Genomic DNA, 26672 nt, shown 5'->3' with positions numbered 1-26672 from the left:
GAATCCAAGAATCCCTCTGGGGCCAGGATGGGAGACGGACCGAAGGGATGAAACTGGAGGTAGGAACTCAAGGAGGGGGCTGGACCATGGACCAGCAGTAGAGGGTAAGGCCTGAGCAGGGGTAAGGGATGGAAGAAATGAAGGAGAAAAGTCCAAAAGGGAAAGTCCAGCCTATCTCATCCAGAAAGTAGAGGCATCAGAGAGTAGAACTAAAAACAGGGAGGCTGAGCACGGTGGTTCACTTGAGGTCAGGGGTTTGAGATCAGTCTGGCCAACACGGTGAAACCCTGTCCCTACTAAAAGTACAAAAATTAGCCAGGCGTGGGGGCATGCACTTGCAGGCTTGCAGTCGCAGCTACTTGGGAGGCTGAGGCAGGAGGATCCCTTGAGCCCAGGAGGTAGAGGCTGCAGTGAGCCATGATTGTACCACTGCACTCTAGCCTAGGTAGCAGAGAAAGACTGTCTCGAAAAAAAAAAAAAAAAGGAAAAGTCTAGCCTATCTCATCTAGAAACTAACTACAGAAACTAGAGGCATCAGAGGGTAGAACTGAGATCAAGGAGGCTAGAGCTTGACAGGCTGGGTTTGAACCCCAGCTCTGCCACTTACAAGCTGTGTGACCTAAGGTCAGCTACTTAACCTCTCTGTGCCTCAGTAATCTTCCACGCAAAATGGGGCTAGTCATGGGACCTACTTCCTAGAATTGTCAAGAGAACTGAATGAGTTAATATTTGCCTGGAAAAATACTTGGCACATATCTGCAAAATTAAAAAGGACTCAGCAGGCTGAGGCCAAAGGATTGCTTGAGCTTAGGAGTTCAAGATCAGCCTAGGCAACATAGCGAGACCCTGTCTCAAAAAGAAAAAAATTCAATGCAATAAAAGGGTAAGAGTCCTCACCTAGGACCACAGCATTCAAGGGAGAAGAGTGGAACCACATTGGGAATAGGATGTGTTCCCCTCTCCTCCTCCAACCCTGCCCTGGGATTCCAAACTCCAAAGGTAAAGGTACCTATTGTACAGTGATAGCTATAAAATTATAGAGAGAGTTCTTTTTTTTTTCCTTAGAGAGACAGGGTCTCCCTAGGTCACCCAGGCTAGAATGCGGTGGCACAATCATAGCTCACTGCAGCCTCAAACTCCCAGGCTCAAACAATCCTCGCGCCTCAGCCTCCCAAGTAGCTGGGATTACAGGTGTGTGCCACTGCACTCAGCTAATTTTTGTAATTTTTCTTATAGAGATGGGGTCTCACTGTGTTTCCCAGGCTGGTCTCGAACTCCTAAGCTCAAGTAATCCTCCTACCTCAGCCTCCCAAGTGGCTGAGACTACAAGTGTGCACCACCACACCCATATAATTTTTGAATTTTTTGTAGAGAGGGGGTCTCACTATGTTTCCCAAGCTGGTCTCAAACTCCTGGCCTCAAGCAATCCTCTCACCTCAGCCTCCCAAAATAATTCATCTTTAAAGTTAGTTCTGCCTCCTCCCACCTGTGTGACCTTGGGTAAACTGCTTGCCCTCTCTGAGCCTCAGCCTCATACCCCATCATATAAATCTGCTGCTAGCCCCAACCAGATTCTTGGGAGGCTGTGGGAAGCCAGCAGGCCCACCATCCCTACCTATTACCCTGCACATGCCCAGCCCAGCCCAGCCCAGTCCTGCCTGGCCACACTTACCATGCCCAGGTGGCCCAGCAGCCAGTTGCGCCGGGGAGGCTGGGGGAAGCAGCGCAGCCGGCGGCAGGTGATGTAGAAGCTCCTGCAGAGCCTCAGGAACCGCAGCAGCAGGCGGAACAGGAAGAAGAGCAGGAAGAGGAGAAGGGTGGACACCGCGTATATGCGGAACGCCGTCTTCTCCAGCCCCAGGAGGTGCAGCAGGCGGTCTGTGATGGGCAGCATCCTGGGGACACACAGGGTCAGGGGGTCGGTGCCATGCACAAGACGATGACCCATGGGGTAATGCATGGTGTGCCTAGTGCACAGAAGGTTCCCAGCACACGTGAGTTCCAGACACCAAGGATACCTCTTCATCCCCCAGCCATGATCTCCAACCAGCTGGACAGATGGATGCACTCGGGGCCCTGCTCGTATGCTCTCAGCCTTGACTTTTACAAGGCCACCCTCTTGACTTCTCTACCATAGGGCATTCTCTGCCCAGGCATAGCCGGTCAGGCTGGGAAACCAAGACACCCCTCCCAAAGGAGCAGCTCTCAACCAATGACTGAGGCTCATTGGTGGATAAATACCCCAGCTCCCTCACCCCTTGGGTGCAATGACCCTGAGATATAGGTTCCACACTCACTCTAGGCTTCCCCAATGAGATTAAACTCCAGCTGCCCACAGTGGAAACTCCCTATTGGCCACGTCCTTTCCCCCTCTTTCTTTTTCTTTTTCTTCTTTTTCAGTTGAGATGAGATTCGCATAACACAAAATTAATTATTTTAAAGGGAATAATTCAGTGGCATTGAGTACATTTACATATAATGCAACTACCACCTCCATCTAGTTTCAGGACTTCTTTCTTTCTCTCTCTCTTTCTTTCTTTCTTTCTTTCTCTCTCTCTCTCCTTCTTTCTTTCTTTCTTTTTGAAAGAAGGTCTCCTCTGTCACCCAGCTGGAGTGCAGTGGCATGATCACGGCTCACTGCAGCTTTAACCTCCCCAGCTCAAGCAATCCTCCCACCTCAGTTTCCCAAGTAGCTGGGACTACAGGTGCATGCCACCAGGCCCAGCTAATTTTTGTATTTTTTTGTAGAGACAGGATTTTGCCATGTTGCCCAGGCTGGTCTCGAACTCCTGGGCTCAAGCGATCCTCCCGCCTTGGCCTCCCAAAGTGCTGGGATTACACGCATGAGCTACCTCACCCAGCTAGTTTCAGAACATTTTCATTATGCCAAAACAAAACCCCATCCCTGTTAGTAGCCACTTCCCATTCTCCCTCCCTGGAGCCCCTGGCACCACTAATCTGCTTTCTGTCTCTATGGATTTAAGTATTCTGGATATTTCATATAAATCTATTAAATGCTATGCAGCCTTTTGTGTCTGGCTTCCTTCACTCGGCATCCTGTTTTTGAGGTTCATCCACATTGTAGCATCAATCAGAGCTTAATTCCTTGTACTGCTGAGTAATATTCCATTGTATGGATATTCCACATTTCCTTTTTTTTTTTTTTCTTTTGAGACAGGGTCTGGTTCTGTCACTCAGGCTGGAGTGCAGTGGCATGATCACGACTCGCTCCAGCCTTGACCTCCCAGCCTCATGTGATCCTCCTGTCTCAGCCTCCTGGGTAGCTGGGACTACAGGTGCATGCCACCACACCTGGCCCCACATTTTCTTTATTCATTCATCTGTGGACAGACATTTGGGCTGTTTCTACATTTTGGCTATTATGAAATATGCTACTCTGAACATGTGTGTACATGTATTTATCTGAGTACCTGTTTTCAATTCTTTTGGGTTCACTGTCTTCTTCCTTGCTGGTATTTTCTGTTATTACTTCCCAAAAAAATTACTTGCACTCAGGTCCTTGCTTTAGGGCCAGCTCCTAAGGAACCAAAACAAAGCAGTCAGGTAACCATAATGTTAATAAAACAGTGAGCAGGCAGGAAGGGCTTGTCATCTGCCGTGCACCACCATGCTCCGGGCAGTACCAGCCTCATCTCAGAGAATCTGATATGGTTTGGATCTGTGTCCCCACCCAAACCTCATGTTGAACTGGAATCCCCAGTGTTGGAGATGGGGTCTAGTGGAAGGTGATTGGATCACGGGGCTGGTTTCTCATGAATGGTTAACACCATCCCCTTGGCGCTGTCTTCCAGATAGTGAGTGAGTGAGTTCTCATGGGATCTTGTTGTGAGTTTTTTTGTTTTTTGTTTGGAGACAGAGTCTTGCTCTTGTTGCCCAGGCTGAAGTGCATTGGTGCGATCTCAGCTCACTGCAGCCTCTGCCTCCTGGGTTCAAGCGATTCTCCCACCTCAGCTTCCCAAGTAGCTGGGGTTACAGGCACCTGCCACCATATCCAGCTAATTATTTTTTGTGTATTTTAATAGAGACGGGGTTTCACCATGTTGGCCAGGCTGGTCTTGAACTCCTGACCTCAAGTGATCCGCCCACCTCAGCCTCCCAAAGTGCTGGGATTACAGGCATGAGCCACCACACCACGCCTCACTTAGGTCTTCTGCCAGCCAACGCCAAACCACATTTTCCATGCAGAAGTGAAATTTGTTGGCCGGGTGCAGTGGCTCACACCTGTAATCCCAACATTTCGGGAGGCCGAGGTGGGCAGATCACTTGAGTTCAGGAGTTCAAGACCAGCCTGGACAACATGGTGAAACCCCATCTCTACTAAAAATACAAAAATCAGCCGGGCGTGGTGGCGTGCGCCTATAATCCCAGCTACTCGGGAGGCTGAGGCAGGAGAATAGCTGGAACCTGGGAGGCGGAGGTTGAAGTGAGCTGAGATCGTGCCACTGCACTCCAGCCTGGGCGATAGAGTGAGACTCCGTCTCGAAACAAAATAAAAATAATAAAAATAAAGAAGTGAAATTTCTTTTTGAGACAGGGTCTCACTCTATCACGCAGGCTAAATAGTGACCCTAAAGAGTACTATCACGGCTCAATGCAGCCTCAACCTCCCAGGCTGAAGCAATCCTCCCACCTCAGCCTCCAGAGTAGCTGGGACTATAGGTGCACACCATCATGCCCAGCTAATTTTTTCTATTTTCTGTAGAGACAGAGTCTCATGACGTTACCCAGGCTGATCTCAAATTCCTAGGCTCAAGCAATCCTCCCACCTCTGCCTCCCAAGTGCTGAGATTTACAGGTGTGAGCCACCTCGCCCAGCTGCAGAAGTGAAATTTTTATTAGTTAACACTTCCTGGGAAAACAGCTGGGTGGGTCATCATCAGATTTGGAGATCCCAATTGGGATGGATATTATGACTTAAAATACAGACTACATGACCAGTCTTAAGATGGTTGCAACTGAAACAAAAAAACAGAAAATAAGTGTGGTTGAGGATGTGAACAAATTGGAACTGTTGTGCACTGGGGAAAACCATATGGTGTTTCCTTTTTTTTTTTTTTTTTTTCTGAGACAAAGTTTCGCTTTTGTTGCCCAGGCTGGAGTGCAGTGGCACAGTCTCAGCTCACTGCAACCTCCGCCTCCTGGGTTCAAGCAATTCTCATGCCTCAGCCTACCGAGTAGCTTGGATTATAGGCACCCGCCACCATGCTGGGCTAATTTTTGTATTTTTAGCAGAGACAGAGTTTCACCATGCTGGCCAGGCTGGTCTCGAACTCCTCACCTCAGGCCATCCACCCACCTCCACCTCCCAAAGTGCTAGGATTACAGGCGTGAGCCACCACGCCCGGCCACTGGTGGTTCCTTTTAAGATTAAACAAGCTGAGCATGGTGGTGCATGTCTGTGATCCCAGCTACTCTAGAGGCTGAGATGGGAAGATTGCTTGAGCCCAGTTGTTCGAGGCTGCAGTGAGCTATGATCGTGCGACTGCACCCCAGCCTGGGTGACATAGGGAGATCCTGTATCTTAAAAAAAATTAAAATTAAACATAGAATTACCCTATAATCCATCCATTCTACTTCTGGGGATATACCCCCAAAGAATTGAAAGCAGTGTCTCGAAGAGATATTTGCACACTCATGTTCAGAGCAGCACAAGTCATAATCACTAAAACGTGGAAGTAGGCTGGGCGGGGTGGCTCATGCCTGTACTCCCAGCACTTTGGGAGGCTGAGGGGGCAGCTCACCTGAGGTCAAGAGTTCGAGGCCAGCCTGGCCAACATGGCGAAACCCCGTCTCTACTAAAAATACAAAAAATTAGCCAGGTGTGGTGGCAGGTACCTGTAATCACAGCTAATGGGGAGGCTGAGGCCCAGGAATCGCTTGAACCTGGGAGGCGGAGGTTGCAGTGAGCTGAGATCGAACCACTGCACTCCAGCCTGGGTGACAGAGCGAGACTCCGTCTCAAAAAAAAAAAAAAAAAAGGTGGAAGTAACCCAAGTACCCACCAACAAATGAATGTATAAACAAAATAGGGTCCATCCACATAATGGAATACTATTCGGCCTTCAAAAGCAAGGACATTCTGACACATGCTACACCAGGGTTGAACCTTGAGGGCATCCTGTTCAGTGAAATAAGCCAATCACAGCTGGACGTGGTGGCTCACACTTGTAATCCCAGCACTTTGGGAGGCCAAGGCAGGCAGATCATGAGGTCAGGAAATCGAAACCATGCTGGTTAACATGGTGAAACCCCGTCTCTACTAAAAATACAAAAAATTAGTCAGGTGTGGTGGCGGGCACCTGTAATCCCAGCTACTCAGGAGGCTGAGGCAGGAGAATTGCTCGAACCCAGGAGGCGGAGGTTGCAGTGAGCCGAGATCGTGCCACTGCACTCCAGCCTGGCGACAGAGCGAGACTCTGTCTCAAAAAAAAAAAACAAAAAAACAAAACAAAATATTAGCAGGGCATGGCAGCATTCGCCTGTAGTACCCGCTACTCGGGAGGCTGAGGCAGGAAAATCGCTTGAACTTGGGAGGCGGAGGTTGCAGTGAGCCGAGATCGTGCCACTGCACTCCAGCCTGGGTGACAGAGCGAGATTCCATCTCAAAAAAATAAAAATGAAAAAAGAAGTGTGTGCACTGAGGCTCTGTGTGTGGTCCGTATGGAAAGCCTGGTACCCCTGTGAGTGAAGTATTGCCTCCATTCATTGTTTACGCTGGAGTTTTTCTCCTCATGGAATGCAAGTAAAACTTAGTGTTTGTCACCAATAAATGGTGACAAGAGCAAAACTCCGTCTCAAAAAAAAAAACAGCAAAAAAAGGGAAAGAGACTTTCTTTTTTTAGTTTTTGTTTTTTTTTTTTTTTTGAGATGGAGGCTTGCTCTGTCGCCCAGGCTGGAGTACAGTGGCGCGATCTCAGCTCACTGCAAGCTCCTCCTCCCGGGTTCATGCCATTCTCCTGCCTCAGCCTCCTGAGTAGCTGGGACTATAGGCGCCCACCACCACGCCCAGCTAATTTTTTTTGTATTTTTAGTAGAGACGGGGTTTCACCGTGTTAACCAGGATGGTCTCGATCTGCTGACTTCGTGATCTGCTCGCCTCGGCCTCCCAAAGTGCTGGGATTACAGGCTTGAGCCACCACGCCGGGCTGAGACTTTCTTTTTAAATGCATGCATGTACTTGTGCACGCGCACACACACACAGACACAAACATACACGATGAACATCTGGATTCTATGTCTGCCTCCTCACCAATTGGCTATGTGGCCTGGTCCTCAGTTTCCCTGTTTGTACCTCGGGGTGACTATAAAAAGATGATCTCTGGGTCCACACCAGTGTGACCTTTTCGTCTGCAGCCCGGTCAGTGGGTGTGGGGTGGGTGTTACCATCTTGGCAGGCCCAAAAGTGCTGAGAGGGAGTCAACATATTCAGCCAACAGGGGTCACATGAATCATCACATCCACCCCCAGGAGCCACCTGGCTGCAGTTCAGTCCCATTCCAGCCACCACAATCCCCTTTCTAACAGCCTGTGACTCCTATGCTCTAACACCCTGCATGGCTCCCTACTCCCCTCAGCCTGGCATCCAAAGCCCTTCAGGAACTCACTCCTGCCCATCCTCCACTTCAGCCTCAAAAAGTCCCCTCCTCTGGCTGAGCACAGTGGCTCACATCTGTAATCCCAGCACTTTGGAAGGCCAAGGCGGGTGGATCACTTGAGGTCAGGAGTTCGAGACCAGCCTGGCCAACACGGCAAAACCCCATCTCTACTAAAAATACAAAAATTAACCAGGCATGGTGGCGGGCGCCTGTAGTCCCAGCTACTCGGGAGGCTGAGGCAGGAGAATCGCTTGAGCGTGGGAGGCAGAGGTTGCAGTGAGCTGAGGTCGCATCATTGCACTCCAGCCTGGGTGACAGAGTGAGACTCTGTCTCAAAAAAAAAAAAAAAAATCCCATTCTCAGTCTGCTTTGAGCCCGTCTTTCTTCACCCGGTTTGTAAATGTTGGGGCTTCTAAGAGCCACGTTGTCCCCCCTTTCCTCTGTGCCCACATCCTGAGGATCTCACCCCTCCCGTGGTTTCAGAAATCCTATCTCAAAGGCAATTCCCATGTCTCAGTGTCCAGCACTGCCAGGTCCAGCCAGCTCCTGAACATCCCCCTGGGGGCATCTCCTAGACTCTCAGATTCACCTCACCCTCTTCCTCCCCCTTTCAGCCACATCCAATCTGTTGCCGGGTCCTGCTAGTTGTCCATCCTAAACATCTTCAGAATCCATTCATCATTCTCCATCCCCATCATCCCAACCCACAGCAGGCCAGCACTGCAGTGGCCCGTTCCCACTGGTCCCCTGAGTTCCATCCTTTCTCCCTGCAAGAAGTCCATTCTGCACACACAGCCAGAGGGATCTTCCTCAAATTAAATCAGATCATGAACCTTCCCTGCTCAAAATTCTCCCATGGCTCCCCACTTTGCTCTAAATGAAATTTAGACTCTTTTGTTTTCACGGTTTTTCTTTTTTTTTTTTTTCTGTGTTTTGTTTTGTTTCTTTTTTTTTTTTTTTTTTTTTTGAGACAAAGTCTCATTCTGTCGCCAGACTGGAGTGCAGTGGCGCGATCTCGGCTCACTGCAAACTCCGCTCCCCGGGTTCACACTATTCTCCTGCCTCAGCCTCCTGAGTAGCTGGGATTACAGGCGCCTGCCACCACGCCCAGGTAATTTTTTTTTTTTTTTGTATTTTTGGTAGAGATGGGGTTTCACCGTGTTAGCCAGGATGGTCTCGATCTCCTGACCTCGTGTTCCGCCCGCCTCGGCCTCCCAAAGTGCTGGGATTACAGGCGTGAGCCACCGTGCCCGGCCTTTTATCACGGTTTTTCTTTTAGAGGCAGGGTCTTGCTGTGTCACCCAGGCAGAAGTGCAGTGGTGCAATCATAGCTCACTGCAGCCACAAACTCTTGAGCTCCAGAGATCCTCCTACCTCAGCTTCCCCAGTAGCTGGGACTACAGGCATGCACCACCATGCCCAGCTAATTTTTAAATTCTTGGTAGAGATGGGGTCTGGCTATGTTGTCCAGGCTGGTCTTGAACTCCTGGTCTCAGACAATCCTCCCACCTCAGCTTTCCAAAGTGCTGGGATTCTAGGCATGAGTCACCTCATCCAGCTAAATTTAGACTTTTTGTCATGGACCACAACAACCTACATGGCTTACCCCTGTTGATGCCTCTAGCCCTGTCTCCCACCACCCTCCTCCTCACTTGCTCACCTCAGGCTGCTCCAGGCCACTCCTTCCACAGGCCAAGCAACTTCCCGTCTCAGAGCCTTTGCACATTCTGTTCCCTCCATCCACATTCCTTTCCTCAGCTGTGCCCACACCAGCTCCTCATCCTCCAACCCCAGCTCTGCCCTGATGGTCCACTCCTTTGCACCACAATCAGCCACCTCCCCTAGATCACTCTCCAAAGAATCATTGAGTGCCTGTTATGTGTGATGATTTTCACTATCATTCACTCCATCTTCCCAGTAAGCCTTAAAGAGAGCTGGAAGACTTCTGAGTGAAATCACAGCTAGAGCCCCCAACTCGCACCCAGGAAAATCCCAGCTGAAATCTCAACAAAGGAAATGTCTTCTGGAATGAATGAAATGGGAAAGAATTGGGATAAGAGAAGGTGCCAGCCCTAGAGAGGGATCCCTGCTCCAGGTGGCTGGGTACATGGGGAGATGGGTGCTTGGGGAGGGTGAGAGAGGGGAGTTGTGGAGCCCTGTGTCCGCTTCACCTCCCCGTCCCCCTACCAGACATGGGCTGAAGTCCTTCCCAGGACAAACAACCCCTGGCTCTGCCCCCAGGCAGGACCACATGTTGTGAGTCCCCAGTTGGGACACTCTCTGGAAGCCTCCAGTTTCTCCACTACAAAATGGGAATCATGACAAGAGGTCCACCAGATGCCCATGGGAAGACCACCATGAAAGGTACATTGGGGAAGTCCTATACTTTCCACAGCTGGGGTCCTCCTGTCCCTCAAACAAGAACACTTCTGTCTGGCACCCACAAAAAAAAATAGTGCAGCCACTGTGGGGAAACCCTAGAATTATCATTTGAGGTCGGGCACGGTGGCTCACACTTGTAATCCCAGCACTTTGGGAGGCTGAGGTGGGCGGATTGCCTGAGGTCAGGAGTTCAAGACCAGCCTGGCCAACATGGCAAAACCCCTTCTCTACTGATAATACAAAAAATCAGCCATGCGTGCCTGTAATCCCAGTTGCTTGGGAGGCTGAGGCAGGAGAATCGCTTGAACCAGGTAGTCAGAGGTTGCAGTGAGCCAAGATCGTGCCACTGCACTCCAGCCTGGCAACAGACTCCGTCTCAAAAAAAAAAAAAAAAAAAGAATAACATCTCTTCAGGCCACGTACCCCATGGACCTCTCATGAGATCCTCTGAGCAAGTGGACTATCTTTCCAGAGTCCAGGGATTCCAGGTTGAATACAAAGACTTCCCCAAAAACAACAAGAATGAATTTGTATCTCTTATCCATTGCTCCTCTCAGCCGCCTCTGATCAGCCATAGTGTTATAAGTAAAATGTTTATTCAGAAATAGAATGCTTGTTCCTCGGTACTGCAAGTAAAAATCAGCATTCAGATAATAAGTTTTCTCAGCAAGGCAATTTTACTTTCTGCATAAAGGGTGCTCCTTGCAGATGGAATAATGGCGAGAGCACACCTGAACAAAGGAGGGAAGCAATTTTTATCCCTTATGCAGTTTGTCCTTGCTACTGTGTCCTGTCTCCATTGGCTGAAGCAAGACCTCACAATCTAAATTAAACCTGACTGGCTAATAATTTAAAACTTTCCTAAATAGGTAAAGGCAATAGAGAGCAAAGGAAAAGAGGAAGTTGCTTACAAAAGGACTTAGAAAAGCAATAATATTTCCAAATAAGGAAAGGGCATGGGCTGCGAGCTGGGACATGCCTGTGAGCACATCCAGCACAGATATCTTGGTTAAAGTACAAGGACGTAGAATGTACTATGTGCCTGTGAGCATGTCTAGTACAAATATCTTGGTTAAAGTACAAAGACATAGAATGTACTTATTCTCTTATATCTAACACATAGTATTGGCAAGGATGTTGAGTCCTGCTATGATATGGCTGCACTAAACATCTTTTTCTTTTTCTTTTTTATTTTTCAAGACCGAGTCTCGACCGGGCGCGGTGACTCATGCCTGTAATCCCAGCACTTTGGGAGGCTGAGGCGGGCAGATCACGAGGTCAGGAGATCAAGACCATCCTGGCTAACATGGTGAAACCCCATCTCTACTAAAAATACAAAAAATTAGCCGGACGTGGTGGCGGGCGCCTGTAGTCCCAGCTACTCAGGAGGCTGAGGCAGGAGAATGGCGTGAACCCAGGAGGCAGAGCTTGCAGTGAGCCGAGATCGCGCCACTGCCCTCCAGCCTGGGTGACAGGGCGAGACTCCATCTCAAAAGAAAATAAAAAAAAGACAGAGTCTCGCTCTGTTGCCCAGGCTGGAGTACAGTGGTGCTATCTCAGCTCACTGCAGCCTTTGCCTCCCGGGTTCCAGCAATTCTCCTGCCTCAGCCTCCTGGGTAGCTAAGATTACCGGCATGCGCCACCACACCTGGCTAATTTTTGTACTTTTTAGTAGAGACGGGGTGTCACCATATTGGCCAGGCTGGTCTTGAACTCCTGACCTCAGGCGAACCATCCACCTCGGCCTCCCAAAGTGCTGGGATTGCAAGCGTGAGCCACCGTGCCTGGCCAGCTGCACTGAACACCTTAAAGTTGCTGTCTGAGTTGGACCAACAAAGTACAGAGATGCCAAGAACAGGAAATGGATCAATGTCTGTGTGTGGGAGGTGCTGAACCTTTTCTGGCCATGAACCATTATAAAATCCCAACATATACACTGAAAATATTAAAACTGCTTTGAAAATTTGGAATTTCTGATACCTCTAGTGGGCCGAGAGACGGTGGGTAAAGGATGTGGGCAGCAGCAGGGAACACAACAGGGGAGGTGGCTGTGGCCGGGCTGGACTGTGCTGGGGTTTGTTGTGACGGCCACTCGGTGACCTGGCTGTCCCTACGCAATACCAGCTGCCTTTGGGGAAGAAGGGCTGCCCAGCCAGCTGGCTCTCCTGGGGCACCAGCAGATCCACGCCCTGGGCACCTTCCTGTTTGGTCTTTTTTTTCCCGTGTGAAAGAAGAAACTGAAAGCATGACCCCTTCTCAAGCTGGCTTAGTTGGGACAAACCCTGGACAGCCACACCAGAGAGAGGCCTTCAACCAGCCCCAGAGCTAAAAGCACCAGAGAAAGTCAAATGCTTCCTATTCAGCATGACCTAACTTCTAGTGTGCCACGGCCCCACCACTTCCTGCAGTGCCCACACCATCACCACTGCTTTCTCTTCCAACAGTGATCTGTATTCTTAGTTTCATTATTTCCTTTTTATTGGTATGACACTATATAAAATTTTCCTCCTTCCTGCCTTCCTTCCTTCTTTCTTTCTTTCTTTTTCTTTCTTTCTTTCTTTCAAGACAAAGTCTCACTCTGTCACCCAGGCTGGAGTGCAACGGCACAGTCTTGGCTCCCTGCAACTTCTGCCTCCCAGGTTCAAGCAATTGTCTGCCTCAGCCTCCCGAGTAGCTGGGCCACCACACCCAGCTAGTTTTTGTACTTTTAATAGAGACGGGGTTTCACCATCTTGGCCAGGCTGGTCTTGAACTCCTGACCTCGTGATCCACCCGCCTCGGCCTCCCAAAGTGCTGGGATTACTGGCATGAGCCACCGTGCCCGACGACACTATATAAAATTTTCATTTGAGAGTTTCTCAACTGTATCTAATTATATCGCACAGTTTGGAAACTTTTCTGAGACTGACTTTATCAATAATCTAACCGACAAAGATCATATCCACGTGTATGTAGTTAGACATTTTTATTTCATTGACTAACCCAGCACCATTTCAGTGATGCAAATTACGTGCCCTATGGTTCAGCTGAAACAGTCCTGGACTTTCAAAAACCTTGAATAAGTCTCCCACAGTTGTATAAATTGGACAATTTAGGAATTTTAAACTTTAGATGATCATTTGCTTCCATTTTTATTTTATTTTTATTTTTGTTAATGCAAACAGGACTTAAACAAATGAACTTTGATCTCCATTTTAAATATTCTTTAAGAAAATCATGTGTCTATACATACGGCTCTTGAGGACTTAGCTTTCACTACACTACAGGATATGATCTCCACATAGTTCACATAAAACTGCAGACTGATTTTCCAGAGTGCTCGATACTATTAATTACATCTCGATTAGGGCTGAAAAGTATGACCTATGTTTCTTTATACAGTTGTGTTGCTTTTGATGTTGTGTTACTATACACAGAAGTGTGTGCACTGGGCCGGGTGCGGTGGCTCACGCCTGTAATCCCAGCACTTTGGGAGACCGAGGGGGGTGCGGATTGCCTGAGCTCAGGAGTTCGCAACCAGCCTGGACAACACGGTGAAACACCATCTCTACTAAAATACAAAAAAATTAGGCTGGGCGTGGTGGCTCACGCTTGTAATCCCAGCACTTTGGGAGGCCGAGGCGGGCAGATCACGAGGTCAGGAGATCGAGACCATCCTAGCTAACACGGTGAAACCCCGTCTCTACTAAAAATAAAAAAAATTAGCCGGGCGAGGTGGCGGGCGCCTGTAGTCCCAGCTACTCGGGAGGCTGAGGCTGAAGAATGGCGTGAACCCGGGAGGCGGAGTTTGCAGTGAGCCGAGATCGCGCCACTGCACTCCAGCCTCGGTGACAGAGTGAGACTCTGTCTCAAAAAAAAAAAAAAAAAAAAATATATATATATACAAAAAATTAGCAGGGCGTGGCAGCATTCGCCTGTAGTCCCAGCTACTCAGGAGGCTGAGGCAGGAGAATCGCTTGAACTCGGGAGGCAGAGGTTGCAGTGAGCCGAGAACATGCCACTGCACTCCAGCCTGGGTCACAAAGCGAGATTCCGTCTCAAAAAAATAAAAATGAAAAAAGAAGTGTGTGCACTGAGGCTCTGTGTGTGGTCCATATGGAAAGCCTGGTACCCCTGCGAGTTAAGTACTGCCTCCATTCATCGTTTACACTGGAGTTTTTCTCCTCATGGAATGCGAGTAAAACTTAGTGTTTGTCACCAATAAATGGTAATACAAAAAAGAGAGAGAGAGAGAGAGAGAAAAGCTTTGAGGACCCAGGAAAAATGGTGGCAGCCTCTGGAAAGGGCCTGAAAGAACTCGGGACAGGGGTGGAAGGGAAACTTAAGTTTACTATCCACTTTTCCAGTCGTTTTGGTTTCCTATACCATGAGCACATGTCACCCATTCAAAAAAAATTGAATCAATTATAAAAATTCATTAGTTTACTGCATGACACAAAGAGTGAATCCTAATGTAAACTATGGAGTTTAGATAATGGAGGAAAGGTATCAGCCAGGTGAAGTGGCTCATGCCCGTAATCCCAGCACTTTGGGAGGCCAAGATGGGAGGATCACTTGAACCAAGGAATTTGAGACCAGCCTGTGCAACATAGTGAGACTCCGTCTCTACTAAAAAACAAAAAAATCAGGCCAGGCATGGTGGCTCATGCCTGTAATCCCAGCACTTTGGGAGGCTGAGGAGGGAGGATCACTTGAGGTCAGGAATTTAAGACCAACCTGGGCAACATGATGAAACCCTGTCTCTACCAAGAAAAAAAGAAATAGCTGGGCATGGTGGTGGATGCCTGTAGCCCCAGCTACTTGGGAGGCTGAGGCAGAGGTTGCAATGAGCCAAAATCTTGCCACTGCACTCCAGCCTGGGGGACAGAGTGAGACTCTATCTCAAAAACTAAAATTAATTTAATTTAATTTAATGTTCACTTTTGACTTCAACAGGCCTGGGTTCAAATCTCAGCTCTCCTATTCCCTAGGTTAGCAGCCTTGGGTGAACCCAGTCCCTGCCATCAGCCTCCCTTTGCCAATCTGTGAAATGGGTTGATAATAACAGGACCTACCCCCTAAGGTTTTTGGGACGGCTCAGTGAAATGAGGCATGGAAAGGCCTTGTCACGTAGCTCACAAAATGTTAGCCATGATGACTACTCCTATTATTGCTATTTGATAGAAGTGAGAGCAATTCAAAGGTGACACCCTCAGAATGTTGTGGGCGGCTGGCATGTCCACTCCCTATCTACACCGGCCCCCGATCTCATCCAGCAGGCCCGCCTTGGTAGAGGTGGCCCTGCCCTGCCAGGGCCCGCATTATCTGGTGGTGGTGAAAGCCAGCGACTGGCTCCGTGTCCCGGCCCACGCCCAGGTCGCGCTGGTTTGTCAGGTTGGCCCAGCCGTTCACCCACTGAGGACTTGTTATACAAGGTGTGTGGGCTCCCAAGAAGGAGTGGAGGGCACGGACCCAGGCCGACGCCAGGTACGAGATACATGCCTCTTCTTGAACTGCAGGGGCTGGGACCAGCCAGGAGCCTGATGGAAGAGCACCCCAACGCTGGCCCCATCACCCCAAATCCCAGCCCTCCTTTTCACTCCAAGCCTGTAGTCAAGGCAGCCTGCCCCCGTCCCCACTGATTCATGGTGCCACCTTGGCTTCCTCAACATCAGAGGGCTGGCTTACCCCAGAGACTCACATATTCCCCCAAAGTGCCAGACCCCAGAAGGCTGGAGCTGAGAGGGGACTTCTAAGTTGTTTTGTTGTTGTTGTTGTTTGTTTGTTTTGTTTTTTAGACATGGTCTTGCTGTGTCCTTCAGGCTGGAGTGCAGTGGTGTGATCTTGGCTCACTGCAACCTCCCCGTCCTGGGCTTGAGTGATCCTCCCACCTCAGCATCCTGAGTAGCTGGGACTACAGGCGCCTGCCACCATGCTCAGCTAATTTTTTTTTAATTTTTTTGTTAAAAAAAATTAATATAGTGCTGGGCGCGGTGGCTCATGCCTGTAATCATGCCTGTAATCTCAGCACTTTGGGAGGAGGGAGGATCACCTGAGGTCGGGAGTTCGAGACCAGCCTGACCAACATGGAGAAACCCCATCTCTACTAAAAATACAAAATTAGCCAGGCATGGTGGCACATGCCTGTAGTCTCAGCTACTCAGGAGGCTGAGGCAAGAGAACAGCTTGAACCCGGGAGGCAGGGGTTGCAGTGAGCCAAGATCACGCCATTACACTCCAGCCTGGGCAACAAGAGCAAAACTCCATCTCAAAAAAAAAAAAAAAAATATATATATATATATATATATGGTATCCCTATATTCCCCAGGCTGGTCTCAAAGTCCTGGGCTCAAACCATCCTCCAGCCTTAGCCTCCCAAAGTGCTGGGATTACAGGCATGAGCCACCACACTCAGCCTGGCTTCTAGGTCTTCAGTCTCCACTCAGCACTCTAAATTTCTAAGGTTCTGAGAAAGAGCTTCAGAGTCATTTATGACTAATGAGGGCAGGGCCAAGTTGGCAAATGTGGTAAAGGAGACAGTCCTATCGCAGCTTTGATCATATTCAAACCTTTTGCTAATAATTTCCTTGGCCCAAAGGGGATCCTGGCAGAAAAAGAAGTTTTAAAACCACTAATAATCTAGACCATTGCAGGGTTGTAATTGTTTCTGCCCACCATCCCAAGTGTGGCCACACCTGGACATGAGCCTCAGAAAAGATTCTATAAAGGTCTGCCTCTTTGCTGTGCGACCTCGGGTGAGTGTCTGCACCTCTCTGAGCCTCAATTTCTTCATCCATTAAGACAGAAGCCCTATTTACCCACCTCATGGGGCTGCAATCTTCCAGGCACATAGTAAGCCTTTGATCAATGATATCTCTCATTACCGTTGGTGCTGCCATCACGTTCATTATTGTGACCTGGCCATCTGGGGTTTGGAGAATCAGGTCCAAGTTTTATCAACAAGGAGAGATGAGTCAGGCGCAGTGGCTCATGCCTGTAATCCCAGCACTTTGGGAGGCTGAGGCGGGTGGATCACTTGAGCCCAAGAGTTCAAGACCAGCCTGGGCAACATGGTGAAACCCCATCCCTACCAAAAATACAAAAAGTAGACAGGAGTGGTGGTGCATGCCTGTAGTCCTCCATACTCAGGAGGCTGAGGTAGGAGGATTGCTTGAACCCAGGAGATCGAGGCTGCAGTGAGCTATGATTATGCCACTGCACTCCTGCCTGGGTGACAAAGTGAGACCCTGTCTCAACAACAACAACAAAAAAAGAAAGAAAGAAAGAAAGAGAGAGAGACAGAGAAAAGAAAGAAAGAAAGAAAGAAAGAAGGAAGGAAAGAAAGAAAGGAAGGAAGGAAGGAAGGAAGGAAGGAAGGAAGGAAGGAAGGAAGGAAGGAGAGATGGGTCCCATTCCCTGAATGCCTCTCAAGTCATCCAAGCCCCTCTGCAGATACCAACCTGGGTCACCGCCAGACACCAGGCCAGAGTTAATGTTACTGTTCAGAAACCCAAGCTGGGCCATTTGGTGATGCCGGGGACATCGGAAAGTGGACTGAGGCTTTGGGGTCAAACAGGGCTTGTTTTTTCAAATCCCAGCTCTCCCACTGGGCACTGGGTATCCACAGGCACAGGCTTCTTCTCTCTGGCCCTCAGTTTCCGTGCCTGTAAAATGAGGGTGGTAGGGAAGATTTGGGGAGGTTCCTTCTCTTTGGGGTTTGGAGTTACACAAGAAGGAGTTTGATGCTGCCAGCCCTGGCTGGGCACAGCTCCAGGACCTAGAAATAAGGGGTGGAGCAAGGGGCACAGGGTAGGAGGAATTTCGGGTACGCAGCCAGCCCTGGCCATCTCCTTTGCCTACAGGGCGGTGAGACTCACAATGAGTGCATGAATGAGCTGTGAGCGGGCAGATGAACCAGGAGAGATGCCCTGAGCCTAGGCCTCTCCAGCCTGCGACTCCCCAGGTGGCCAGCCTCGGCCAACTTGCATACCCAGGCTGGGCCAGGCCCCTGGGAGGCCAGAAAACATCTTCCTTCCAGCATCTATCAGACGAAGATCACCTGGGACCAACCCCAGGACCTCACACAACCCTCAGAGCCAACTCTCGGGGCCAGAAGAACACCGTCTTTTCATAGAGGGGCTCTGCGTCTGGCATGGATGGGCAGAGGGTTCCTGATAGCAGTTGAACCACAAGCCTAACCCCATCGGTTGAATGTACTACAACCTCCCCGTCAAGACAACGTGCAGTGGTGAAATCTCAGGGCGAATCCCCATTCAGCCCCAAAGAGGCGTCCCAGGGCGGGGCTTGAACCCATCTGGGATGTCCTGACTACCAGAGGGGTCTTTTGGAGGCCCCCTGCCCATCACAGATACCCAGAGAAAAGGATGCGCCTAGGACTCCGAGGCGCACACAGAAAAAAAAAAAAAGAAAACAACTCACAAATGCAGCAAACGTCGGGGACACACCCACGTGCCCCTCTCCCCACGAGTGCCCCGGGCATGCAGCCCCGTCCTGGGTCCTGGGGGGGTCCCCGTGGCCGGCTGCGCCCCGCCCGCCGCCGCGCGCAGACCTTCGCCCTTGCCCCGCCAGCACCGAACCGCGCGAGCCTCGGGTTCCAGCGCAGCGCCGCGGCCGCGCTCAGGTTACAGCCCTCACCACGCGCGCACTCACCCGCGGGTCTCAGCCTCCTGCCCTCGATCCGGATCCACCGGCGCCACTACCTGGGATCTGACCGCGCCGTCCCACGGCCCAACCCTTTAACCCCGCCCGGCCGTGCCGAGGGGTCCGCCCCCGGACATCCCGCCCCGGGCTCCCGCAGGGTTCTGGGCGGGGACTCCAGCGCTGCCCCCTAGAAAAGGAGAGAACAAGAAATAGGCGTGTGGAGGGGTGGAGAGCGATGGAAAGAGAGAGAGACTGAGACTGAGATGGAGAGATGAAGAGAGACAGAGACTTGGACACCTAGAAGTCCCAAACCATCAGGCTCCCCGCCCTCCTGCCACTGCTGGGCCGCATTAGCGCCCAAGTCCCGCTCTGGACCACACTCCTCCCACACCAACACCCCCCATGGCCCTTACTTCCAGGTTTGCTCCCAAGCTTGGACAGCGATCTCTAAACCATCACCCCCTGGGGCCCCACTGACCCCCCCGAGAAGCCTCCTCTGGGGCCCTCAGGAATTCTCTGGCTCCACCAGCCCTTGGGAACCAGCCCTTCCCCTCTCTCTGGATCCTGGGCCTAAGCTTCCCCGGCACCCACCCCTGGAGGCTCTGCAGCCTCTTCCTCCAGGAAGACCTCCAACCTCAACAAGCAGCACCAGACTGGTTCTGCTCCCCGCCAACCCGCCCTCCGCCACTCCTCCCCACCCACTGCCAGACACCTTGACCCTCTGACCAGGATGTTGTCCTTGGCCAACCCGTCTACTCCAGATGTGTGGAGACAGAGTCAGCTCCGCCTCTGGATGTGTCTGTCCTCCGGAGTCGGTGGGTGGATGTGTGGCTGACCTTAGCACGTGGGCAGACAGATGAGAAGACAAGAATCTCCACTTGCCCCAGCAGGTGGTAAACTTAGAAGACTTCCTTATCCCTCTTTTTTCTAAGAATACGCTCTCATTTGGTGCTGGGCCCTTGGAAAGAGGGCGTGGGAGGTGTGGGGCATGTCTCCTGGTGAAGAAGAGGAGACACAAGTAATTGAAGTTTTGCTGCTTGGAGGAGGCAGACATGAGGTCAGGGAAGGCGACGTGGAGGATGTGACACTTGAGCTGGGACTGCATGGAGAGGTTGGATTTCAACAAGTGCAGGAGAGGGGGTAGAGCTCAAGCACAGAGAAACTGGAGGGTGTGACTTAGCAGATGGCTTTCCCTGGCCTTGGAGTGTGAGAGGTGTGGAGGCTGGAGGGATGCAGGAGTTGACTGTGAAGGCCAGTTTGAATGGCTGGATCTTGATCTGGTGGGCAGTGGGGAGCCATGGATGGTGCTTGAGTAGGGGAGGTGCCCCCTGTTAGTTGATTGGTCTCACTCTGTCATCCAGGCTGGGGTGACTCCTGGGCTCAAGCCATCCTCCTGCCTCAGCCTCCTGGGTAGTTGGGACTACAGACACGTGCCACCACACCCAGCTAATTTTTTTTTTTCATTTTTTTAGAGACAGGGTCTCACTATGTTGCCCAGGCTGGTCTCAAACTCCTGGGCTCAAGCCATTCTCCCAGCTCCTAGAACTTTTAAAAAAAAATATTTATATTTATTTGTGTCTTTAATCTTTTTTACTTCTGAGGAAGAGCTTATTTTATTAATTTTTTATTCATAATTAACGCAGCATGAAAGCCTATTTTTTAGGGATATGAATTTTGTTTTGCCAGTAATTCTGGCCAAGGGGGAGCTTACTAGAAGCACTTTGGAAAATGCAGAGATCCACATAGAGTGAAGTTTGAGAGGGACCCCTCCAGTGGCTGCAGGGGACAGAGACAAAGGGTGGGGGTAGCTGAGACCCAGGAAGGGGTTAAGGATGAGGTCCCGGAGGTCATCTCCACTGACCACTGGCTAAATACGGGGTTCTAGGGAAGAGAGAAGGAAAAGAAGCCATCTGCCTGGCTTCTCTGCTCTCAAAGAGCTGGAGACCAGGAAGGAGGAGTAAGTGAAAGGGCCTGGAGCACTAAGAGTGGGCTTCGTGGATGTGTGGCCTTGAGCTAGTCACATGGCTGCTCTGAGCCTCCATCTCCCTATGCATAAAATGCAGAAGAAGCCCATGTGATGAGGTGGTGTTCAGCCCCACTCCTGGCACAGGGCACAGGCTGGACAAACATCAGCTGTTTGAGTTTGCAGTTGATTGGGGCCATCCCAGCAGAGTAGAGTTTTCCGCCAGGGAATGTTTAGCAACATCAGGAGATCATACTGCTGGGTGGGGGGTAGAGGTGGGGGTGGGGGAATTCAGGGTGGTGCAACTGACATCTAGTGGGTGAAGGCCAGAGATATTATTCAACATCCAGAACACCCCCACCCCCAAAGAATAATCCAGGCTCAAATGTTGACAGTGCTAAGATTGGGAAACCGTGGGTCACCTTCAGTCTAAAAGTCTCGTGGGTCTCATGGGATGACATTCAGGGAGACATCCAGGAGGCAGTTGGGCTCAGCGTGAGGGCACCTCCTGAGAATTGCATCTGTGAGTCACCTGCCTTGGGAAGACGGTGGATGGCATGGCAGTAGGTCAGCGAGATCACTCAGGAGGGAGGTGGGCAGAGAAGAGGAGGGGAGGGCAGAAGTGGGGATCACAGCCACTTTTTTTTTTTTTTTAAGATGGAGTCTCACTCTGTTGCTCTGTTGTCCAGGCTGGATACAGTGGCACAATCTTGGCTCACTGTAACCTCCGCCTCCCGGGGTCAAGCGATTCTCCTGCCTCAGCCTCCCGAGTAGCTGAGACTACAGGTGCCCACCACCAAGCCCGGCTAATTTTTGTATTTTTAGTAGAGACGGGGTTTCGCCGTATTGGCCAGGCTGGTCTCAAACTCCTGACCTCAAGTGATCCACCTGCCTTGGCCTCCCAAAGTGCTGGGATTACAGGCATGAGCTGCCGTGCCTGGCCTTTTATTTTATTTTTTAATCAAACAGAGTCTTGCTCTGTCACCCAGGCTAGAGTGCAGTGGTGCTATCTTGGCTGACTGCAACCTCCACCTCCCGGGTTCAAGCAATTCTCCTGCCTCAGCCTCCTGAGTAGCTGGGATTACAGGCTTGCACCACCACGCCCGGCTAATTTTTGTATTTTTAGTAGAGACAGGGTTTTGCCATTTTGGCCAGGCTGGTCTCAAACTCCTGACCTCAGAGATAATAGCTACATTTATAGAGAGGACAGGCAGCAGCACTGAGCTGGAGCTGGAGATGGAGTTTGAGAAGAGTGGTAGTAGGGACCATCACTGGCACCTAGACGTCAAGGAACCCAAGCTCTAGAGCTGTGTGGTTCCCATGCCACCAGAGCCCTCAGCCTGCCACAGCCCAGGGCTCAGTGGGGTGAGGTTGAAGTGGGAGGGGAGGAAGTGGAGGCTGTGGCTGGACTTGGGAAATGGTAGTAGAAAGCTGTCTGGGAGTGGATGTGGCAGGTCATGGCAGGGAGTCAAAGATAAAAAGAAGAGGGATCTCGCCATACCCTGCTGGTGGCAACGTAAAATGGTTCAGCCACAGTGGAAAACAGTTTGGGAATTTCTCAAAAAGCTAATCAGAATTACCATAGGACCCAGATATTCCACTCCTAGGTATACACACACAATAACTGAAAACAAGTACTTGCCAGGTACAGTGGTCTACAGCTGTCATCTCAGCACTTTGGGAGGCTGAGGCAAGAGAGCATCACTTAAGCCCAGGAGTTCCAGACTAGCCTGGGGAACAACATAGCAAGACTTCATTTCTACAAAATATAAAAAATTAGCTGGACATGATGTGCGTACCTATAGTCCCAGCTACTTGGGAGGCTGAGGTGGGAGGATAGACAGCTTGAGACTGGGAGGCTGAGATTGCAGTCAGCTGAGATTGTACCACTTCACGCCAGCCTGGCTACAGAATGAGACCCTGTCTCAAAAAAAAAGAAAAAGAAAGAAAGAAGAGACAGAGAGAGAGAGAGAGAGAGAGAGAGAGAGAGAGAGATAAAGAGAAAGAAAGAGAAAAGAAAACAGTTACTCACACGTAATTGTAGAGGAGTGCTCGGGATAGCACGATTTATTATAGCCAAAGGTGGAAACAACCCAAATTCCACCAACAGATGAATGGATAAACAAACTGTGGTCCATCCATACAATGGAATATTACTCAGTCATAAAAAAGAATAAAGGCCGGGCGAGGTGGCTCTTGCCTGTAATCCCAGCACTTTGGGAGGCCGAGGCAGGTGGATCACCTGAGGTCAGGAGGTTGAGCCAGCCTGGCCAACATGGTGAGACCCTGTCTCTACTAAAAATACAAAAATTATCTGGGCACGGTGGCGGGCACCTGTAATCCCAGCTACTCGGGAGGCTGAGGCAGGAGAATCGCTTGAACCCGGAAGGCAAAGATTGCAGTGAGCCAAGATCGCACCACTGCACTCCAGCCTGGGGGACAGAGTGAGACTCCGTCTGAAAAAAAAAATACAAATAAAAATAAATAAAACCCTGATCCATGCCGCAATGTGGATGAGCCTCATAAACATTGTGCTGAGTGAAAGAAACCAGACACAAAAGGTCACACAGTGCATTATTACATTTATATGAAATATTCAGACTAAGTGAATTCACAGAGACAGAAAGTGGAGTAGTTGTTGCCAGGGGCTGGGGGAGGGGGGATGGAGAGAGAAGCCCATACCCAGGGGGAGTGGTTATAGGACCTCCTTTTGGGGTGACAAAAACACTGGAACTAGATAAAGGTGATAGTTGCACAACATTGTGAATGCACTAAATGTCACTGAATTCTACACTTTAAAGGGTTAATTTTATGTTATGTGAATTTCACCTCAATTTTTTTTTTTTTTTTTTTTTTTTTTTGAGACAGAGTCTCACCTGTTGCCCAGGCTGGAGTGCAGTGGTGCGATCTCAACTCACTGCAAACTCCGGCTCCTGGGTTCAAACAATTCTCGTGCCTCAGCCTCTCAAGTAGCTGGGATTACAGGCCTGTGACACACAGCCAGCTAATTTTTTTATATTTTTAGTAGAGACGGGGTTTTGCCATGTTCGCCAGGCTGGTCTCAAACTCCTGGCCTCAAGTGATCCTCCCTCTTCAGCCTCCCAAAGTGCTGGGATTACAGGCATGAGCCACTGTGCCCGGCCTCACCTCAATTAAAATAAATACTTTATATATATATATATTATATATATATAATAATTATATATATATAATATATAATAATTATTATATATAATATATATAATAATTATATATATAATTATTATTATTGGGAGGTCGAGGCAGGAGGATTGCTTCAGTCCAGGAGTTCAAGACCAGCCTGAGCAACATAGCCAGACCCCATCTCTAAAAAAAATAATTTTTTGTAAAAATTATAAAAAATAACAAATTAGGCATAGTGGTACATGCCTGTAGTCCCAGCTACTCAGGAGGCTGAGGTGGGACGATTGCTTGAGCTCAGGAGTTTGAGGTTTCAGTGAGCTACAATTGCACCACTTCACTCCAGTCTGAGCAACAGAGTGAGACCCTGTCTCTAAAAACAAAAGAGGGCCAGGCGCGGTGGCTTATGCCTGTAATCCTAGTACTTTGGGAGGCCGAGGCGGGCAGATCTCCTGAGCTCAGGAATTCGAGACCAGCCTCGTCAACATGGTGAAACCCTGTCTCTACTAAAAATACAAAAATTAGCCGGGCATGGGGGCTCACGCCTGTAGTCCCAGCTATTCGGGAGGCTGAGGAAGGAGAATCACTTGAACCCGGGAGGCAGAGGTTGTAGTGAGCCAAGATCGTGCCACCGCACTCCAGCCTGAGTGACAGAGTGAGACTCCATCTCAAAAAAAATAAAAATAAAAAAGAACTCGGCAGGAAACAGACCGAACACTTAAGTGGAGTAATTTGTAGAGAGTTTAATAAAAAGCACTATTTTCAAAGGGATAGTGCAGCACACCAGGGGCTGGTAACAGCTGAAATTAGTTACCACCCCTAGGACCTGGGGCCAAGGAACTAAAGTTGCTAGAACCTGGACCAGACAGGGCTATGCAAAGAGGTCCACCTGTCAAGAGTTCTGAACCTCCGGTGGAGGGACACAGCCAGCCTGCATGGAAAGAAGATGAGTTACAAATAACCTAACCTCACTTTCCTCCCTCCCTCCAATGCCTGCTATGGCTCCCTGCTGTTTCAACCCAACTGGAAGCCACAAGACAAAGGAGCTCATTGAGTGGTCCATATACATCAGCCTCCTGGGACACAAAAACAGTGAGGCAGAAAAGTGGAAACAGAACAGGTGATATCAGAGATTTCAAACAAAGAAAGCAACACAGCTGGGCATGGTAGTTCATGCCTGTAATCCCAGCACTTTGGGAGGCCAAGGCAGGCAGATCACCCGAGGTCAGGAGTTCGAGACCAGCCTGGCTAACATGGTGAAACCCCGTTTCTACTAAAAATACCAAAAAATTAGCTGGGCATGGTGGCACGCACCTGTAATCCCAGCTACTTGGGAGGCTGAGGCAGGAGAATTGCTTGAACCTGGGAGGTGGAGGTTGCAGTGAGCCAAAATCATGCCATTGCACTCCAGCTTGGGCAACAAGAGCAAAACTCCGAAAAAAAAAAAAAAGAAAAAAAGAGAGAGAGCGAGAGAAAGGAAGGAAGGAAGGAAGGAAGGAAGGAAGGAAGGAAGGAAGGAAGGAAGGAAGGAAAGCAATTCAAAGGTGAGAGGCAAGTGGGGTGTTAAATGGCCCCTTTTAACATGTGCTGGCCACTTTCCTTCTCCCCATCCACACACAAGCCACTTGGGACCATTTTTGCCAAACCCATCAAAGACCATCTCTCCAACTTTAAATCCTTTGCACATGCTCTTCTCTCTGCTTGGAATTATCTTCCTCTCACCCACCCAACTAACTCCTACTTAAGGCCATTTTTTCTGAGGGCTTCCCCAGTCACTGGGCTTAGTTCCAGCCCATACTCAATGCAGCCACAGCCCCTGAGTGTCCTCGCTCCCAGTAAAATTGCTCTTGGAATGATTTTTTTGTTTTGTTTTTGTTTTGTTTTGTTTTGTTGAGATAGAATTTTGCTCTTGCTGCCCAGGCTGCAGTGCAATGCGCGGTCTTGGCTCACTGCAACCTCCACCTCCCGAGTTCAAGTGATTCTCCTGCCTCAGCCTCACAAGTAGCTGGGATGCACCACCACACCCAGATAATTTTGTATTTTTAGTAGAGACAGGGTTTCAGCATGTTGATCAGGTTGGTCTCGAACTCCTGACCTCAGGTGATCTACCCGCCTCGGCCTCCCAAAGTGCTGGAATTACAGGCATGAACCACCGTGCCTGCCTCTTGGAATGATTTGTTTAGCCCTGGATAGGGCTGTAAACTCCACGCAGGTAAAAGGGATCTTTCTCTTTCTCTGCCTTGTCCCCAGCCCCAGCTGTCACATAGCACATATTCATTCAACAAATGCCAAGTTTGCACATGGTACCAGGCATTGCTCTGCAGTGAATAAACAAAAACACATAAATTAAAAGTGTATAATCTATGTGATATGTGCTATGGGACAAAACCTAGCAAGGTAAGGAGATGTGGAAGCCCTCTCTGAGGAGTTGATATTTGAACAGGGATCTTAAGCATTCCAAGCAGAGGGCACAGCCTGTGTAAAGGACCTGAGGCTGGACCATGCCTTAAAGAACAGTCAAGAGGCCAGTGAAGCTGCAGCAGAGTGAGTGAGGGGGATACCGGGAGGAGATAAATGCAGGGAAGTGACAGGACAGGTTGTCTAGGACCTGGGGGACCACTGAGAGGGCTTAGGTTATTACTCTGAGGAAGGTGGGAGCCATACAGGGTTCTAGGCAGAGAAGGGATGTCCCCTGAGAGGTTTTAACAGGCTTCCTCTGGCTGCAATATCATGAACAGAGTAAACGGGGAGCAAGAGCTTGCTTCCTCACTGCCCAACCCTGAAGGAACTTAGAGTTGTGAAAGGTGGTAGAGTTTGGGATTTGTTTAATAAAAGGTGGAGCTGATGGGATTTGCTGACAGACTGGATGTAACTCCAAGGTTTTCCACCTGGGCATCATTTAGGCTGGAGGT

The 26672-nt window shown here is 49.7% G+C and overlaps 1 protein-coding gene and 1 pseudogene across 3 annotated transcripts in view, besides 1 other annotated feature; one reads left to right on the top strand and one right to left on the bottom strand.

Annotated features, from left to right (window-relative positions):
• CYP4F22 (cytochrome P450 family 4 subfamily F member 22) overlaps positions 1 to 18706 on the bottom strand; it is a 43793-nt gene extending 25087 nt beyond the window's left edge. Inside the window, exons 1-4 of one of the 3 annotated variants that reach the window (XM_011527692.3) lie at positions 18648 to 18706; positions 17438 to 17641; positions 3432 to 3538; positions 1673 to 1895 (exon numbers count right to left, since the gene is read on the bottom strand). In XM_011527692.3, coding sequence (XP_011525994.1) covers positions 1673 to 1894 — 222 coding nt within the window. In that variant the 5' untranslated portion in view covers position 1895; positions 3432 to 3538; positions 17438 to 17641; positions 18648 to 18706. Of the gene's footprint in view, positions 1 to 1672; positions 1896 to 3431; positions 3539 to 17437; positions 17642 to 18416; positions 18580 to 18647 lie in introns of those variants that run through there. The other 2 variants (NM_173483.4, XM_011527693.3) reach the window with 2 other exon arrangements.
• Positions 10393 to 12088, top strand: LOC100422106 (staufen double-stranded RNA binding protein 1 pseudogene; annotated as a pseudogene).
• Positions 18562 to 19062: an enhancer, noted in NCBI's record as "H3K4me1 hESC enhancer chr19:15618980-15619480 (GRCh37/hg19 assembly coordinates)". NCBI's record gives its function as "activates a minimal SCP1, AML or CMV promoter by ChIP-STARR-seq in naive H9 embryonic stem cells {active_cell/tissue: H9 hESC(naive)}" and the evidence as "EXISTENCE:reporter gene assay evidence [ECO:0000049][PMID:30033119]".

This window comes from Homo sapiens, chromosome 19 (genome assembly GCF_000001405.40).
Source record: "Homo sapiens chromosome 19, GRCh38.p14 Primary Assembly".
NCBI lineage: Eukaryota > Metazoa > Chordata > Mammalia > Primates > Hominidae > Homo > Homo sapiens.
Note: the sequence above shows the minus strand (reverse complement) of the source record. Positions and strands in the feature narration are given on the sequence as shown.